Source organism: Homo sapiens, chromosome 16, assembly GCF_000001405.40.
Source record: "Homo sapiens chromosome 16, GRCh38.p14 Primary Assembly".
In the NCBI taxonomy this organism is placed as follows: Eukaryota; Metazoa; Chordata; class Mammalia; order Primates; family Hominidae; genus Homo; species Homo sapiens.
The window spans coordinates 2,335,740-2,354,308 of record NC_000016.10 but is presented as its reverse complement, the minus strand read 5'-3'; the positions used below and the strand labels follow the sequence as shown (position 1 = coordinate 2,354,308).

General features: G+C 45.3%; 1 protein-coding gene and 1 pseudogene across 2 annotated transcripts in view, besides 2 other annotated features; one reads left to right on the top strand and one right to left on the bottom strand.

Annotated features, from left to right (window-relative positions):
- ABCA17P (ATP binding cassette subfamily A member 17, pseudogene) overlaps positions 1-13,387 on the bottom strand; it is an 85,778-nt pseudogene extending 72,391 nt beyond the window's left edge. The window contains exon 1 of the transcript NR_003574.1: positions 12,936-13,387. The product of NR_003574.1 is annotated as an ATP binding cassette subfamily A member 17, pseudogene (transcript). The remainder of the gene's footprint in view (positions 1-12,935) is intronic.
- Positions 13,271-13,730: a silencer, noted in NCBI's record as "silent region_7042". NCBI's record gives its function as "represses an Ori minimal core promoter by ATAC-STARR-seq in GM12878 lymphoblastoid cells {active_cell/tissue: GM12878}" and the evidence as "EXISTENCE:reporter gene assay evidence [ECO:0000049][PMID:35858748]".
- ABCA3 (ATP binding cassette subfamily A member 3) overlaps positions 13,581-18,569 on the top strand; it is a 64,848-nt gene continuing 59,859 nt past the window's right edge. The window contains exon 1 of the mRNA NM_001089.3: positions 13,581-13,736. The gene's annotated coding sequence lies outside the window, so the exon portion shown is untranslated. The remainder of the gene's footprint in view (positions 13,737-18,569) is intronic.
- Positions 13,901-13,960: a silencer, noted in NCBI's record as "silent region_7041". NCBI's record gives its function as "represses an Ori minimal core promoter by ATAC-STARR-seq in GM12878 lymphoblastoid cells {active_cell/tissue: GM12878}" and the evidence as "EXISTENCE:reporter gene assay evidence [ECO:0000049][PMID:35858748]".

The following is an 18,569-nucleotide window of genomic DNA, read 5'->3' as shown; positions in this document are numbered from 1 at the left end:
ATGAGCTATTAAATCATGAAGAGACATGGAGGAACTCTAAATGCATATTACTAAGTGAAAGAAGCCAATGTAAAAAGGCGACATACTATATAATTCTAACTATTTAACATTCCAGAAAAGGCAAGCAAAACTATATATATATATATATCAGGGCTAGGAGCGGAGGCTCACGCCTGTAATCCCAGCACTTTGGGAGGCCAAGGTGGGCAGATCACCTGAGGTCAGGAGTTTGAGACGAGCCTGGCCAACACGTTGAAACCCCATCTCTACTAAAAATATAAAAATTAGATGGGCGTGATGGCAGGCACCTGTAAAGCCAGCTACTTTGGAGGCTGAAGTGGGAGAATCGCTTGAACATGGCAGGCAGAGGTTGCAGTGTGCCGAGATCGTACCATTGCATTCTAGCCTGGGCAATGAGAGTGAGACTCCATCTCAAATAAATAAATAAAATACAAAAATTAGCTGGGCATGGTGGTGCATACCTGTAATCCCAGCTACTCAGGAGGCTGAGGCACAAGAATCACTTGAGCCTGGGAGGCAGAAGTTGACATGAGCTGAGATTGTGCCACTGCACTCTAGCCTCGGCAATACAGTGAGACTCTGTCTCAGAAAAAAAGAATCAGTGCTTGCTGGGCAGGGTGGCTCAAGCCTGTAATCCCAGCACTTTAGGAGGCCAAGCCAGGAGGATCTCTTGAGCCTGGGAGTTTAAGACCAGCCTGGGCAACATAGCAAGACTCCCATCTCTACCAAAAAAAATAAAAACCCAAAACCACAAACCAAAATTAGACAGGCATACTATAGTCCTAGTTGCTTAGGAGGCTGAGGCAGGAGGATTGCTTGAGCCCAGGACTTCGAGGCTGCAGTGAGCAATGATTGTACCACTGCACTCTAGCCTGGATGACCGACAGAAAACCTGTCTCAAAAAAAAAAAAAAAAAAAAAAAGAACGAAAGAAAGAAAAAAGAAGGATTGACAGGGAAATTAAACTCCTAAAATAAGTAATCCACTAGCATATCCAGTCAATACAAAAAAAGGAACAAACACACTGTCAGACATATTAATGAAGAATGAAAAGGAAAAAATACCCAATGTTGTACAGAAAATTAAATATTTTTTGTAACACTATGCTAAAAAATTTGTCAATCTGTCTGGGATGGGTTGATTAGGAAAATAGAAGTAACTACTATAATCCAGTAAGAGATTTTTTTTAAAACCTAAATATTTATTCACATAAACTGTTCAAGAAATTGAGAAATTTGTCAGAGTCCTCCAAGCAGTGTAAGTGCAAAAACTCAAATGGGTAAGTTATTTTTAACTACAAGCAATAGGTCATTCTAATGCTATTTAAACTAATCCATAAGCAGAGAGAGGGTAAACTTCCACTAAAAAAAATCAGGTTAACTAATGATGATATGAAAATCTGACAATGACAACATTTTTTTTAAAAAAAACTAAAGCCCATTCTTAGTAAAGAGAAGATGTAAAAATCCTTGCTAGCACATAGAATCTAGAAATGCATTAAAAGAATAATATACCATGAACAAATGGAAAATTTATTCCAGAAATATAGGAATGATTCACTATTTTCACCATTATGATTTCTATTAGTTTAATTCATTATATCAATTGCTCAAAGGAATAAAAACATAATGTCAATAAATTCCCAAGGCATTTGATAAAATTTTCCATCTATTCTTTGATACTTTTTAAAAAAATCCTTAGAAACAAAATCATCTATAATGTGTTAAAAACACATTTCTCAAATCAAAAGCAAAGATATTTTCTGGTGACCACAGAAGCATTCACAATTAAGACAAAACCAAGATTAAAATGCCAGTGGCAACATTATTTTCTAGCATTATTCTGGAAACAGTAACCCAGAGCCATTGTGTCCAGTTATGAGGCCTGTTCCCTATACCAGGACATCTGGCTCAGAGGATGAGAAGCAGGGCTGAGATCCACTCTATGCTCCACTCCACCTGGCCTAAGGATGGATCTGCTGGCTGAAAGTTCCACTCAGGGGTACCTTTATCTAATTGGTTTGTGCAGTTGGGTGCCTTTAACTAATTGGTCCACTCAGAAGAGCTGCCTTTATCTAATAGGTGGGGAGGCAGGGATCACCTCTTGGCAATTCCTCACCAGGCACGGTACCCTATATAAGCTCCTGGTGGCCCTATACTCCTACAGTTAAATGATAAGATGAATCAAGAGGCATAAATATAGGTAAAGAGGGAACTAGATTATGATTGTTTGCATGTTATTAAGTGGTATACATAGAAAACCCAAGAGAACAACTGAATAACTATAAGAAACAGTAAAAGGTAAGGTAAGATAGCCAGTTACAAAAGTAGTATATAAAAAAATCAATAGTTTTCCTATCAAAAACCAGGTAGGACAATGTATTTCAGGAAAAGATCCCTTTCACAACAGCAACAGCAGAAGAAAACATTTAGGAATAAATATAGTGAGAAATATGCAAGATCTCTGGGATGGAAACTGTAAAACTATATCAATAAACATAAAATTAAGGCTTGAATAAGCCAGGCTCAGTGACTCGGTGCTGGTCACAGTTATTCAGGAGGGAGGATTGCCTGAGCCCAGGAGTTCATGACCATCCTGGGCAACATAGCGAGACCCTGTCTCTAAAAAGAATAAATAAAAAGCTTGAGTAAATGGAGCAACATATCCCATCCTTGCACAGAAATAGTCAATATTTTTAAGATATTAATTTTTCTAAGTACATCTACAAATGTTCTGTAACCCAATAAAAATTTTAATGAGATTAAGAAATTTGATTCTGAAGTTCACATGAAAGATAAAGCTGTGAGACTAGCCAAGAAAATTCTGAGACAGCTATTGACCAGAGATGATCCAAATATTAAAACATGTTGTTAAATAACTTCATTAATGAAAAGAACATCATACTAGTATAGTAACAGCCCCCAAAAACAACTTATATAGAGAACCATATATATATGGAAATTTAGTGTATTATAAACATAGCCTTTCAAATAAATCACATAAATATTAAAACAGTATTAATACCTATTTGTTTAACAACTAGATGAAACAGATCAATTCCATGAAAGACATAAACTACCTAAATTCACTCAAGAAGTAAGTAACCTGAATAGTCCTAATATCTATTAAAGAATTTGTATCTGTAGCTATAATCCTTCCAAAAAAACAAAATCCAGATGGTTTCACTGGCAAATTCTAACACTTAAAGAAGGAATAACACTAATTCTGTACAATCTTTCCCAGAAAATAGAAGAGGGACAACTTTCCAACTCATTTTATGAGGTCAACATTACTGTGATCCAAAGCCAGATAAAAACATCACGAAAAGACATAGCATAAAAAACACAATGCAACTCATAATATTAAGAGGCTTAAGAATAAACCACTTAATCATCTCAGTGGATGCAGATAAGTACATCTGACAAAAGTCAACATTCATTCATGGTAAAATCTCCCAGCAAACTAGAAATAGAAGAAAATGAAAATTTCTTCAACCCGATAAATAGCAGCTACAAAAACCTACAGTTAACATGATACTTAATGGTCAAAGACTCAGTGCTTTCCCCCTAAGATTAGAGAACAAGCCAAGGATGACTACTCTCACTGCTATTCAACATCATCCTAGCCAGTGCAATAAAGCAGGAAATAAGAGACATACATTGTACTGAATACTATAGGCAATTAAAAAGAAAAGAGACATAACAGATTGAAAAGAAATAAAAGCATCTCTATTCTCAGATAACATGACTTTCTATGTAGAAAATCCCAAAAAATTCAAAACAAAGTATTCTACAATTAATGAACGAGTTTAGCAAGGTCACGAGAGACAAGATCAGTATATAAAAATAAATTGGCTGGGTACAGTGGCTCACGTCTGTGATACCAACACTTTGGGAGGAGAAGGCAGGAAGATCATTTGAGGCCAGGAGTTCAAGACCAGACTGGGCAACAAGCAAGATCCCATCTCTTTAAAAATTTTAATTATTTTAAAAAATAAAAATAAATCATATTTCTATGTAACAATAAAGAACAAGTGGAAATTTTTAAGTGTCATTTGTAGTAACATTGAAAGAAGGAAATACTTTGGTATAAATTTAATAAAATATGTGCAGAATCCAAATGCTGACGAAACAACGCTGGTAAAAGTTTTTTTAAAATATTAAATGTTTTTGGCCAGGCACTGTGGCTCACACCTGTAATCCCAGCACTTTGGGAGCCTGAGGCAGGAGGATCACGAGGTCAGGAGATCCAGACCATCCTGGCTAACACGGTGAAACCCCGTCTGTACTAAAAATACAAAAAATTAGCCAGGTGTGGTGGCAGGCACCTGTAGTCCCAGCTACTCGGGAGGCTGAGGTGGGAGAATGGCATGGAGGTGGGAGAATGGCATGAACCCGGGAGGTGGAGCTTGCAGTGAGCCGAGACTGCGCCACTGCACTCCAGCCTGGGCAACAGAGCGAGACTCCTTCTCAAAAAAAAATAATAATAATTAATTAATTTTAAAAAAATCTCATTCCCATTACTAGGTCCATATTATTTTTAAAATTATATTCAATTATCATACTGAATTTCATTAATAAAAAATTTTGTGGAAACTTGCTTTGTCTCTTTATATAAGTAATTTATTGAATTTTGCCTATTGGCATGCAAAACCTAAAAAATTTGCTATCTGGCCCTTTACAGAAGACATACAGCTCAATAGAACAGAATAGGGAGTCCAGAAATAAACTGACATATATGGTCAATTAATTTTTGACAAAGTTGCAATTCAATGGAAAAAGAATAGTCTTTTTAACAAACGTGCTGGAACAAGGGACATCCATGTATGGAAATAAAATTTTGACCCATACCTCAACTCATTACACAAAATTAATTCAAAATAAATCATAGACTTAAATACAAAATCTAAACCGTAAAACTTCTAGAAGAAAACACAGGAGAACATCTCTGTGACCTCACAGTAGGCAAAGATTTCTTAGATATGACACCAAAACCATAGTAAATTGGACTTCATCAAAATTAAAAACCTTTGTTCTCGGCCAGATGTAGTGGCTCACACTTGTAATCCCAGCACTTTGGGAGGCTGAAGCAAGTGGATCACTTGAGGACAGGAGTTTCAGACCAGTAGGGTCTCTACTAAAAATACAAAAATTAGCCAGGCGTAGTGGTGGACGCCTGTATTCCCAGCAACTTGGGAGGCTGAGGCAGGAGAGTCACTTGATCCTGGGAGATGGAGGTTGAAGTGAGCTGAGACTGTATCACTGCACTCCAGCCTGGATGACAGAGCAAGACTCTGTCTCAAAAAAAAAAAAAAAAAAAGAAAAAGAAAAAGAAACACTTACTGGAAGTCTTTATTCTCTAAAAGACAGTCTTAATAGGCCAGACATGGTGACTCACGGTGGTGAGTTCACCATGGTGGCTCATGGTGGCTCACCATGGTGACCGGGCATGATGGCTCATGCCCAGCACTTTGGGAAGACGAGGTAGGTAGATCATGAGGTCAGGAATTAGAGACCAGCCTGACCAACATAGTGAAACCCCGTGTCTACTAAAAATACAAAAATTAGTTGGGCACAGTGGCAGATGCCTATAATTCCAGCTACTGAGGAGGCTGAGGCAGGAGAATCACTTGAACCCGGGAGGCAGAGGTTGCAGTGAGCTGAGATCGTGTCACTGCATTACAGCCTGGGCAAAGGACAAGACTCTTCCTCAAAAACAAAAACAAAACCAAAACACTCTTAATAGAATAGAAAGAAAAAAACACTCTTAATAGAATAGAAAGACCATCCACTGAGTGGTAGAAAACATCTGTGAATTGTTGTATACAAAGTTGTATACAAAATATATAAAGAAGGCCAGGCACAGTGGCTCACACCTGTAATCCCAGGATTTTGAGAGGCTGAGGTGGGTGGATCACCTGAGGTCAGGAGTTCGAGACCAGTCTGGCCAACATGGTGAAACCCTATCTCTACTAAAAATACAAAAATTACCCAGGCGTGGTGGGGTGCGCCTGTAATCCCAGCTACTCAGAAGGCTGAGGCAGGAGAATCGCTTGAACCCAGGAGGCAGAGGTTGCAGTGAGCCGAGATAGCACCACTGCACTTCAGCCTGGGCCACAGAGCAGGACTCCATCTCAAAAAAGAATAAAAAATAGGCCAGGTGTGGTGGCTCACACCTGTAATTCCAGCATTTGGGAGGCCAACGCAGGCGGATCACAAGGTCAAGAGATCAAGACTATCCTGGCCAACATAGTGAAACCCCATCTCTCTAAAAATACAAAAATTAGCTGGGTGTGGTGGCGCATGCCTGTAGTCCCAGTTACTCAGGAGGCTGAGGCAGGAGAATCACTCGAACACAGGAGATGGAGGTTGCAGTGAGCCAAGATCGTGCCACTGCACTCCAGCCTGGCGACAGAGCGAGACTCCATCTCAAAATAAAAATAAATAAATAAATAAAATAAAGAACTTTCAAAACTCAACCATAAGAAAACTAACCACCCATGTTTTTTTAATGGGCAAAAGATTTGAAGATGCTTCACCAAAAAGAGCCAGGCACGGTGGCTCAAGCCTGTAATCCTAGCACTTTGGGAGGCCGAGGCAGGTGGATCACCTGCGGTCACAGGTTTCAGACTAGCCTGGCCAACATTGTGAAACCCTGTCTCCACTAAAAATACAAAAAAAAAAAAAAAAAAAAATCAGCCGGGCGCGGTGGCTCACGCCTGTAATCCCAGCACTTTGGGAGGCTGAGGCAGGCGGATCACGAGGTCAGGAGATCAAGACCATCCTGGCTAACAGGGTAAAACCCCATCTCTACTAAAAATACAAAAACAAAATTAGCCGGGCGTGGTGGTGGGCACCTGTAGTCCTAGCTACTCGGGAGGCTGAGGCAGGAGAATAGCATGAACCCAGGAGGCAGAGTTTGCAGTGAGCTGAGATCACGCCACTGCACTCTAGCCTGGGCAACAGAGCAAGGCTCCATCTCAAAAAAAAAAAAAAAAAATTAGCTGGATGTGGTGGTGCGCACTTGTAATCCCAGCTATTCAGGAGGCTGAGGCAGGAGAATCGCTGGAACCTGGGAGGCAGAGGTTACAGTGAGCTGAGATTATGCCACTGTACTCCAACCTGGGTGACAGAGCAAGACTCCATCAGAAAAAAAAAAAAAAGAACATATGCCTGACAAATAACCCCATGAAGAGAGATGCTCAACATCATTAATCATTAGGGAAATACAAATTTAAACCACAATGAAATACTACTACAAATTTATAAGAATAGCTAATATATATATATATTTTTTAGGCCAGGCACCGTGGCTCATGCCTGTAATCCCAGCACTTTGGGAGGCCGAGGCGGGCGGATCACCTGAGGTCAGGAGTTCGAGACCAGCCTTGCCAACATGGTGAAACCCCGTCTCTACTAAAAATACAAAAACTAGCAGGGCGTGGTGGCGCGTGCCTATAATCCCAGCTACTGAGGAGGCTGAGGCAGGAGAATCGCTTGAACCCGCGAGGCAGAGGTTGTAGTGAGCCGAGATCGTGCCATCGCACTCTAGCCTGGGCGACAAGAGCAAGACTCCATCTCGGGAAAAAAAATAAAAAATAAAATATATATATTTTAAGTGTTGGAGAAGGTACAGAGCAACTGGAAGACTTATCTATTGCCAGTGGGAATGCAAAGTGGTACAACCATTACGGAAAACATTTTGGAAGTTTCTCATAAAACTAAACATATACTATACAACCCAACAATCCCATTCATAAATTTTTACCCAACAGAAATGAAAACTTAAACACAAATGATTATAGAAGGCTTTACTCATAATCTCCAAAACTGGAAATAGACCAAATGTTCTCAATTAATGAATGGATCAACAAACTGTGGTATATTCATTCAGTGGAATTCTATTCAGCTATAAGAATGAACTATTGATACACCTGACATGCACAAATCTCAAATATATTAAGTGAAAGAAGTAAGACTCAGACTATATACACTGTATGATTTCATTTATATGACATTCTGGAAAAGACAAAAATAGGACTAGCAAACTAAAATCAGTACTTACCAGCAGGAGGGTAATAAGAATTAACTACAAAAGGGACATCATGAGGAAATTTGGGGGAATGATGTCTGAATTTGGTTGTGGTAGTAATTACACAACTCTGTACATTTGTCAAAATTCATAGAATTATGGGTGGGCACAATGGCTCACACTTGTAATCTCACTACTTTGGGAGGTGGAGACAGGTGGATCACATAAGGCCAGGAGTTCAAGACCAGCATGGTCAACATGGTGAAAACCCATCCCTACTAAAAATAAAAAAATTAGCCAGGCCTGGTGGCGTGCACCTAAAGTCTCACCTACTTGTGAGGCTGAGGCACAAGAATCGCTGGAATCCAGGAGGCAAAGGTTGCAGTGAGCCGAGATCCCGCCACTGCACTCCAGCTTGGGCAACAGAGCGAGACTCCATCTCCAAACAACAACAAAGATTCACAGAATTATAACCAGAAGGAGTGAATTCTACTATATGTAAACTGAGATTTTAATCATTAATGTTTTTAAGTGTTGAGAAAATTGGCTAGCTCACTCCAGCAAAATAAGCCCCAGATGGATAAAGGTTTAAACATAAAAAATTTCATTATAAAAGCACTTTTATAATTATAATTAATTATATTATTATTAGGAGAAGGAGTGAATTCTACTATATGTAAACTGAGATTTTAATGATTAATGTTTTTAAGTGTTGAGAAAATTGGCTAGCTCACTCCAGCAAAATAAGCCCCAGATGGATAAAAGTTTAAACATATAAAATTTCATTATAAAAGCACTTTTATATTATTAGAGTGGGGACTTTTTTAAAAAAATAAGTATGACCTATAACCTGGAAACTATAAAGAAACAGGCTAATAAATCTGATTACATAAAAAAAAACAACTTTTCTTTGAAAAAAAGGTAAAAAGCTGACAGACAACCTGGGGAAAACACCTGTAATACATTTGCAAAAGCACCTGTTCCATTGAGCCTAGACCCCGCTTTCCACCATTGTATCACATTGATGGAGAGTTTTCCAAACACAGGAGAGAGGTTCAAATGTCAAATGTCCAATTTTCATTTCTGAAAAGAAAACTGAAGAATCATGCCCACAGAATATCATTTATGGAAAAATGATAAATAATGCTACACTTGTATAGGCTAATCTATATATGTGTGCAAATACATTTAAAAAACTTTAAGAAGCTTATTTACCAAACTATGACCATGGAGAGGAAATCAGGGAAGGGGATGGCGGTTACAAAGAATTTTGGTTTGCCTATTAGTTTGAATTTCTCAACAAGAATATATTCATGTAACACTTGTTAAATTTAAAATTAATTTGAGAGCATGCAAATCATCCATAAAAATCATCTCCTCAAAATTTCTAAATGTTTAAAACCTAAGCAAAATAACTATTTTAAAGCGAGTGATTTGGTTTAGACAAATATAGTTAGGAAACAGCTTACTTATAGTTTCTGTACTACTTAATAGTACAAAGGAAATCCCTGAATAATTGAGATAGTCCATGTATTAATGCCCATTTTTGCAACTCATAGTCTGTATTGTCTTCAATTGCTGTATCTTTGCTTCTAACAACATATTGTTGGGCACTCTGAATTCTATTAAAGTATAGATGGTGGCTTATTCACATTTTTATTTCAAGTTTCATCTGGCATATAGTAAGCACACAGTGAAAACTAAATCGAATTAAGCAACTCTGTTTTGTGAGATCCTTCAAAACACATAAATTTCATTTGTTGGGCCGGGTGCAGTGGCTCATGCCTGTAATCCCAGCACTTTGGGAGGCCGAGGTGGTGGATCACCTGAGGTCGGGAGTTCGAGACCAGCCCGATCAACATGAAGAAACCCCGTCTCTACTACAAATACAAAATTAGCCAGGCATGGCAGCGCATGCCTGTAATCCCAGCTACTTGGGAGGCTGAGGCAGGAGAATCGCTTGACCCCGGGAGGCGGAGGCTGCAGTGGGCCGAGATTGCGCCATTGCACTCCAGCCTGGGCCACAAGAGTGAAACACCGTCTCAAAAAAAAAAAATGTTCATGCGTTTGTTTCCAAAGCATACAGTATAATGCTTAGATCACTTATTGAGCCCTTGCCGAATGCCAAGGACTTTTCTAAGTCCTGTACTTTACATGTTTTAATGCATCTAATCCTCACAACAATTCTGTGAGGAATTGTTATACAATCCTCATTTTATACTAGGAAACCAAGGCACAGAAAGGTCCAGTAATTTGCCTAAAGACATTAAGAGCTGGAATTTAATCTGAGGCAATATGGCCAGAGTTCAGTTTTAACCATTACAATATAATGCTTCCCAATCACTGAATGAAAGAATATGTGTACAGCCCTTGGTCTACAATGCGTCTCTGAATTATAACATCATTCCCAGGGAAACAATCAAAGAAGCCCTATTCTAAGATACTGTATTGAATATCAGCAATTTGGGTACTGTTGTACGATACAATAGATAGACAGATAGATAGATAGATAGATAGATAGATAGATAGATAGATAGATAGATAGATAGGGTATAGTATTTGTACCCCTTCAAAGAATTGGGAGCTTATTGGTTTAATTATATCTAGCCGACTAGTATAATGGCTAGGTTTACTGCCTTTTGTGAAGCTGTAAGATTTGTTTATGAGTGTCACCATCCACTATAATGTTTACCATCAATCTTGAGAGAAAAGAAATGTTTGAACCATAGTAACTTCAAGGAGTGTATCCTTCAATTTCTCAGCATGTATTCATGGTATATGGATGTGAGTGTTTCCATATAAGAGAGGGGTAGAGTCCAGGAGCCTGAACACGGAGGTTGTCATCTCAGCTCTACTGGGTGACTCTGAAGAAATTATGACCTTATCTGGGCCTCCATCTGGAAAGAAATGACTAGGTGGAGCATCTAGGTTTGCTTTATTTTTTCAGTAGTGGGCCTTGAGCACAATGTGATGAATTATCCAGGGATTGTTGAAGGGCATCAAAAGGGTCCAGCTCACTGTGGGCAACTGTTTTTTAACAGTTCAGAGCCTGAAATTTTTGGGCATAAGATACTTTTCCCAGTGGCCTTCACACCCTCCCACCTCATGATTGTGATTATAATAATTAACAATTAACCTGGCAGAGTTAAGAAAAAAGATATAAAATTAGTACCCTGCAATTGTCTGTCTTGATCTGTAAGGTCATCCTTCTTCCAAAATTCCTACCCTATCTTCCATCTAAGGTAAATTCTGAGTCAGCCAGTTCTGGTACTGGATTTGGTTACAGAGAATTGGGATCCAGTTTTGAAAAGGCCGGAAAAACGTGCAAGGTCTAACAAATTCAATTTGGAAATGGCAAGGATTGGTTTTGGAAAGAAAAATGACTGAGGATATGACCGGGTGAAGACAGGGCCAAGCAGCCAAGTTCACATCATTTTCTGGGACGAAGCAGAGAATGGGGAAGACATTTTGGATGGGGTGTTGCAGTCTGTGAAGACTGATGGGGAAAGGGGGTTTTTAGGATGTTTGCAGCGCATTAATAATCCACTCCCCCACCCATCCTGTAACTGCATTCAATTGTTTGGGGTTTTTTTTCCCCCTGTATGCTCATTACGGAGACTAGGCTATGTAAATCCCTAGCTATACTCACATTATATACTACCATTTATTTGGCATTTATGTGTCAGGTATTGTAGTAAGCACTTAAACATGCATTTTCTCATTTGACCCAAAAAAGAAAAGAATACACCAACAAAAAACCTTTGAGTTTGCTATTATTATTAATTACTATTATTATAATTTCAATTTTAGGGATAGGAAATTGAGACTCAGAAAGATAAAATGACATGTCTACATTAATTGGTGGGTCAAGATCTGAAGCCAGGTCTCTGTGATTCCACTGAACAAATTATTTAGCATGAGCCTCCTCCGCCCCAGGCACTCTAGGACCCTGGATCTAGGCATGAACCTGACGAAGTCCCTTTGCTCGCGGAATGGGCTATCCAGAACATCATCAGAGTGAAAGGTGCTATGTACACAGTAAAATGGGGAACGAGCCGCTCAAACCCTACTCCATCAGGACTCTTGGGGGTGGGCGATTTCCGCCCCCGGCCCGGGGCGTTGCATTAGGTCGGGGCCGTCGGGTCGTGGTGCCGGCGGCTGGCTGGGCGCGGGGCTGGCGGTGCGGGTCGCAGGCGGCTCCCAGCGGCAGGACCGGCAGCAGCCCTCCCTCACCCGGGGCGCCGGGACCACGGACGCACCTCACTGTGGTCCGGCCGCTGGCGGCGCTCGGGGACCCATTGGCCCCGGCCCGCGGCAACTGTCGGCCCCGCGCGGCGCCCGCCCTCATGCTGGAGCCCGGGAGTCCCTCACTCCACCTCTCCCTGCCACGCCAAGGGGGCCCGCCCCTCCCAGGCTCTCCTGCCTGGGGCGACCCAGTCCCACGACCCGGTCCGGCCCAGGGACACCCCGACCCACCTCCCCACTCCCGTCCCGTTAGACCGCGACCCGTCCCTGGGACCGCCTAATGTGACACGCCCGGGACCCTCCCTGCAGGCGACTCCCTGCAGGGCCCCCGCCCTGGACACTCCCTCCAGGTGACCCCGTTCCGCTCGCTCCGTGAGGTGACCCCGACCCTCTCCGGACCACCTCCTCAGGTGACCCCGACCCTCTCCGGACCCTCCCCGACCCTCCCCTCAGGTGAACCCGACCCTCCCCGGACCATCCCGTCGGGTGACCCCAACCATCCCCGAACCCCCCCACCCTCCCCTCAGGTGACCCCGACCCTCTCTGGACCCTCCTCACAGGCGGCCCCGCCCCACCCCGGGACCCTCCCGCCAGGTGACCCCGACAAGGCCGGGCCCTCCTGCCTGAGGTGACTCCTACCCGGCTGGGGACCCCCGAGGCCTCCCTCGCTCCTTAAGTGAGGGCGACTCCGCTCATCCCGGGACACCGCGCCTTCTCCTGTAAACTCGACGCCTGCCCCGACGGCCGAATTCCAGAAGGTTCCTCGCCGCCGCCTCGCCTTCGGTCGCGCCCCAGCGCCCGGCCAGAGGCGGGGAAGCCCTTCCCCCGGTGCCAGGAGTGACGAGGGCCCAAGGAAAGACAGTGCGTGAGGAGAAATGGAGAAACGGCCAAAGTCGAGTTTCCGGGTGTGAAGACTTCCACTGCTGCGAAACGCACGTGCGCAGAGTCATTCCTGTCAGAGGCCACCGCGCCCTCGCTCGGCTACCGCCGCTGCGCGCCCCCTGCTGGACATAGGCGCGGGCACAGAGCAGTGCGCAAGCACGGGCTGCCGCGCGGCCGGGTGCGAACCGCGTACTCGCAGGGTGGCTGACTGCGCACGCGCAAGTCAGAGCGCCCTCTGCCGGGCATGGGCGACATGCAGGGGGCACCGCGCAGGCGCGGGGTTGGGCTGGCCGGAGCGGCCGAGGCGGCCGGGGGTGGACCGGGCACCTGCAGGGGCGGCCGACTGCGCACGCGCCATCCGCGGCGCCCCCTGCAGGAGCCGGAGCGGCCGCTGCGTCCGCCAGTAGCGGGTTGCAGGCGCACCCTCCCCTCCAGGGCGGCCACGCAGCTGTCAGTGCCGCCGCCACTGCGAGGCTGGAGCGGAGCCCGGGTGGCCGAGGGAGGGGACCCCGCGAGAGGGCCGCGCGCCGGCCGCCGCCGCCCCGGCGCCCAGGCTCGGTGAGTGCCGCCGGGACCCGCCGCTCGCGCGCTCGTTCCCGGGGCTTGCGGTCCCCACCCGGGTCCGCCCTTCCCACCCTCGCCGGCCAGCTCGGGCCTCGGGCCCCCCCCAGCTCCGGCCTGGCCTGCGGGCCCCTCCCGCGACCCCGCATCCCCTCCGGCCGCGCCCGCGCCCGCCCCTCCTGCCGCGGCCTCGGCTCCGGGCGCTCCCTGCAGGTGCCGCTCCCTCAGCGTCGGCTCCCATCCGAGCCTTGGGCGTGTCCCGCACTGCGGGCAGTGCCTGAGCCCGCGCCGCGCGGGGAAGCTCGACCCTGCGGAGACTCGGCACGGCCCGGGCCCTCTGTGTGCGCCCAGAAGGTGGATATGTAGCGACCGACAGCCCCGGCCCCGAGGGATGCAGGCGTCCGCCGCGCACTTGCGGAGATGGCGCCGCTTTCCGGCCGCAGGGATGCCGGGCGCGCGGTGGCAAAGCCGCCCGGGTTGGATTCCGCCTGCTCCCACCCTCTGGTTCCGAGGAGCCTCCAAATCCGAATCCAAGGCCCACGGTCCGCGGCGGGCGTTTGCTGCGCCCTCCACTGTGTGGGAACGGGAAAGGGGAGCCGCTAGTCCAGGCGGAGGGGCTTGTGGCAGTCGCCGGAGGCCGCGTTCTCGGCGCCCTCGGTCAGGACGCCTGTGTGCATCGCGTCCGTGTGTCTTGGCTCTGTTCCAAGCCGGCTCCACGCTTCAGAAGGGCCGGGACGGCCTTATGGTCAGGGGCGTGGGGAAGGCGCTTGGTGTCTGTCGCACAGATGAAGCCATGTCCTCAGGGGGTAATTGCCGCTTGTTCTCCGGGTTACGTCCTGGACTGTGCACTCCGGGAAGGCGTCGATTGGATCTTGTTGGGGTTTGTGTTCCTGGAACTCCAGAAATGCCCGCTGAGTGAGTAGCCGAGACCCCGCGACAGCATGGAGCCCAGGCAGGGAGCACGTGGGAGAGGTTCACTCTTCTCCTGGGCATCCCGTCATTTTATTCAGATAGTCTGGGCGCTGCCTTTTGTAAACTTGAAAAGACTAAGACTGTTTTAGAAAGTTTGCCTCATGAGAAATGTAAGAGAAAGGGAAAAATAGATAAAAATGGATGTCATGGGAATCTCCCCCACACTTTCATTTTTAACTTCTTAGATAATTTTTCTTTTAAATTGAACCTTTGCTAACTCTACCTGAAAAACAGGACGACGTCTCTCCCTTCCTAAAGTGACTTACCACCATTCTGACCAGACAGGCTTTTGGAACAGGAGAGGGTAGCACGAGTTGTTTCTAAAAAGATGTTAGCCTTCCATCTGCATGAGCCAGGCAGTCTCATGGGAGCCCATTTTGACGTAGTCTCAACTGGGAAGGCCCAGGTAAGATCCCTAGTTTGCCATTTCTTCCCCAGCCCTGCTTCCGGAGACTGTGGAATCTATTGAGGGGAAGCATTCTGGAACTTTGGGGACGGCTCTGACGGGGAAGGCCTTGTGCACAATGGAAAGATGAATTGGAAGCCGGGCTAAGTGGCTCACACCTGTAATCCCAGCACTTTGGGAGGCAGAGGCGGGCGGATCACTTGAGTTCAGGAGTTCGAGACCAGCCTGGCCAACATGGCGAAACCTCATCTTTACCAAAAATATAAAAAATTAGCCGGGCATGGTGGCACGTGCCTGTAATCCCAGCTACTCAGGAGGCTGAGGCAGAAGAATCGCTTGAACATATTAGGTGGAGGTTACAGTGAGCTGAGATGGCACCACTGCCCTCCAGCCTGGGCGACAGAGCAAGACTCTGTCTCAAAAAAAAAAAAAAAAAAAAAGATGAATTGGACACAGTCCCTGCTCTTGGAGGGGTCTTAGGATAGAGCTAAAGAGATGCTTTATTCACAAGTAACTGTGACATAAGACAGAACAAGATGAGTACCACATGACACATCCAGAAAAGGTGCAACAGGTGACCAGAGGTGGAGGAGAGTTGGCTCCAAGAAGAGCAGAGGGTCTCCACCCAGGCTTCCCGTTACAATCACCTGGGAAGCCAGCCTGGGCCCAAAACAGCCCAGAATCTCCAGGGGTGGGCCTCAGATGTCAGTTTCTGTCTTAAAGTGCCCTGGAAAATTCCATTGTGCAGGCAGCCAAGACAAAGAGCCCCTGAAACAAGCTTCACAGAGGCCATGGTACTAGAAGTGGGCTGGGAAGTGATGGGTAGGTAGAGAAAGGTATCCGGGTGATATTCTAGGCAGACAAAACACTGAAGGCCCACATCTTGTGGGGAAGAGTGAGGCATGTCAGGCCCTGTCCTGGGAGAGTTTTGCAGACCCCATTCCCCTGAATGGCTCAGAGTGTTTGTGGTGTTGGAGAGGTTTGGAGTCAACAGGCAGACAGGTGCCTTTGCGGGAGCCGTGTAACGAGGTCCTTGCTAACTTGCTTGTTGGAGAACATCCATGGTTACCTCCCTCTGGGGACTTTCCATTGCCTCATTACCTCGTTTCCTGCACCTAGGGAGGCAGAACAGCTAGCTGGCTGGAGAACGGGACTGAAGCCACGGCAAGGGTTAGGGAAACAGGCAGTAGCAGAGATTTTGTGGAAGTCTGTCCCGATAGCTCCCTTTGGAACCACGTCTCTGGCTTAAAAATACACCCTATGAACCCCTGCCAGAGCTTCATTGTAAACGCAGAGCCTGTGATCCTAGGGAGGCAGCCGCCTCCAACTCCAGGCAGCGCCTGTGGTGCTGAGTATGAGCGCCAGCAAGCTAGGGCTCCATCAGGGCCTGCGATGCCAGTGCCACAGCCTCAAACCAGCCTCCCCAGCTCTCAGCCAATGGCTGTGGGTTGTGCATTTGTTCCTACCTCATCCCCACAAGGGCCACTGAGGTTATAAATTGGCCTTGGCCAGTGCAAGTGATTCACATCTGTAATCTTGGCACTTTGGGAGGCCAAGGCGGGAGGATCACTTGAGGCCACAAGTTGGAAGAACAGCCTGGGCAACATGGCAAGATCCCATCTCTAAAAAAAAAAAAAAAAAAATCAAACAATTAGCCGGGCATGGTGGTGCACACCCATGGTCCCAGCTATTTGGGAGACTGAGGTGGGAGGATCACTTGAGCCAGGAGGTCAAGGCTACAGTGAGCCATGATCACACCACTATCTATACTCCAGCCTAGGCAAAAGAGTGAGACCCTGCATGAAAAAAAAAAAAAGGCCTCAGACTTTTTTTTTCATGTGTACTGTTATGTGTAAAAGAATGAATGTAAACATGCAGCCCAATATATATTATGTGTTATAAATTACAATTACTGTCCTGATGTATTATGGACATAGAAATATATACAAATTTGGATCTTTTAAAGGGACGAAGGCCAGACAGACATGGTGGCTCACACCTGTATACCCAGCACTTTGGGAGGCTGAGATGAGACAATCCCTTAAGGCCAAGAGTTTGAGAACAGTCTGGGCAACATAGTGAGACCCTGTCTCTACTAAAAAAAAAAAAAAAATAGCCAGGTATGGTGGCGTGCACCTGAAGTCCCAGCTACTGTGGAGGCTGAGGAGGGAGGATCGCTTGAGCCTGGGAATTCAAGAATGCAGTGAGCTATAATGATGCCATTGCACTGCAGCCTGGGAAACAGAGCAAGACCCTGTCTCTAACAGAGAAAAAAAAAAAAGGATGAGAGGTGAAATAAACATGATTAAATTTATCCAACATATGAATGCTACAAAAACTATTGTATAAACATGCTTTTTAAAGATGAAAGCCATGTGTCCACATCCCATTTATAAACTCTCATTGAATCCTAAGTCCCAGCATTTAAGATCAATTGTAAGTTCTGTTTATTGGCCAGACGAGGTGGCTCACGCCTGTAATCCTAGCACTTTGGGAGGCCGAGGTGGGTGGATTGCTTGAGGTCAGGAGTTCTAGACCAGCCTGGTCAACATGGTGAAACCCCGTCTCTACAAAAAAAAAAAAAAAAAAAAAAATTAGCTGGGCGTGGTGGCGGGCACCTGTAATTCCAGCTACTCAGGAGGCGGAGGCAGGAGAATCACTTGAACCTGGGAGGCAGAGGTTGCAGTGAGCCGAGATTGCACCTTTGCACTCCAGCCTGGGCAACAAGAGTGAAACTCTGTCTCAAAAAAAAAAAAAAAAGTTCTGTATATTTCAGGCCCTAGTTATTAACAGCATTTACACATTAACATGATACAGAGAAAGGCACAGACCCTGTGCTTACGAGGCAGGGTACTTGTTTTTCAATTTCATTTACCCATCATCTGAGGGCCCTTGATGAATTTGGGCTGGGTATGTTCAGGGGCTATCAGGGTAGGTGGAGATTCTGGTGTTGAAGATGTTTTGGTGTGCGGGTGTAAATGTTCATATAGACAGTACGCTTGTAGCATCATTGGGAACGCAGTCACGTAATTGTGGAAACCTCTTCAAACGTCTGTTTTCACAAATGCTCTATTCTTGGTACAGATTCTTTTTGAAAAGCTGTAACTCTCATATACTGTCACTTTTTCTTTGAAGGGACAGATTACGTTGTGTCTATTTAAAAGAAAAAAGGTAGATGACACACTGCTGCAGTCATTTGTCATTAAAAACGAAAAAATGTCTCCGGATTTGGAACTTTTCACAAAAGAAAATCTGTACCTTCTCCTTAAATTCTCTGACTCTTTGAAATACTAAGCCATGAAATGACCAGTAAACCTCCAAGTCACACAAAAGATACTCATGGTCATTTTCCACATCACTGCGAAGCATTGTAAAGCTTTCGCTATTTAAGGGTCTTGAGTTTTTGTGGTTTGTTTGTTTGTTTTAATTGACCACAACTGGAAAGCTCTGAA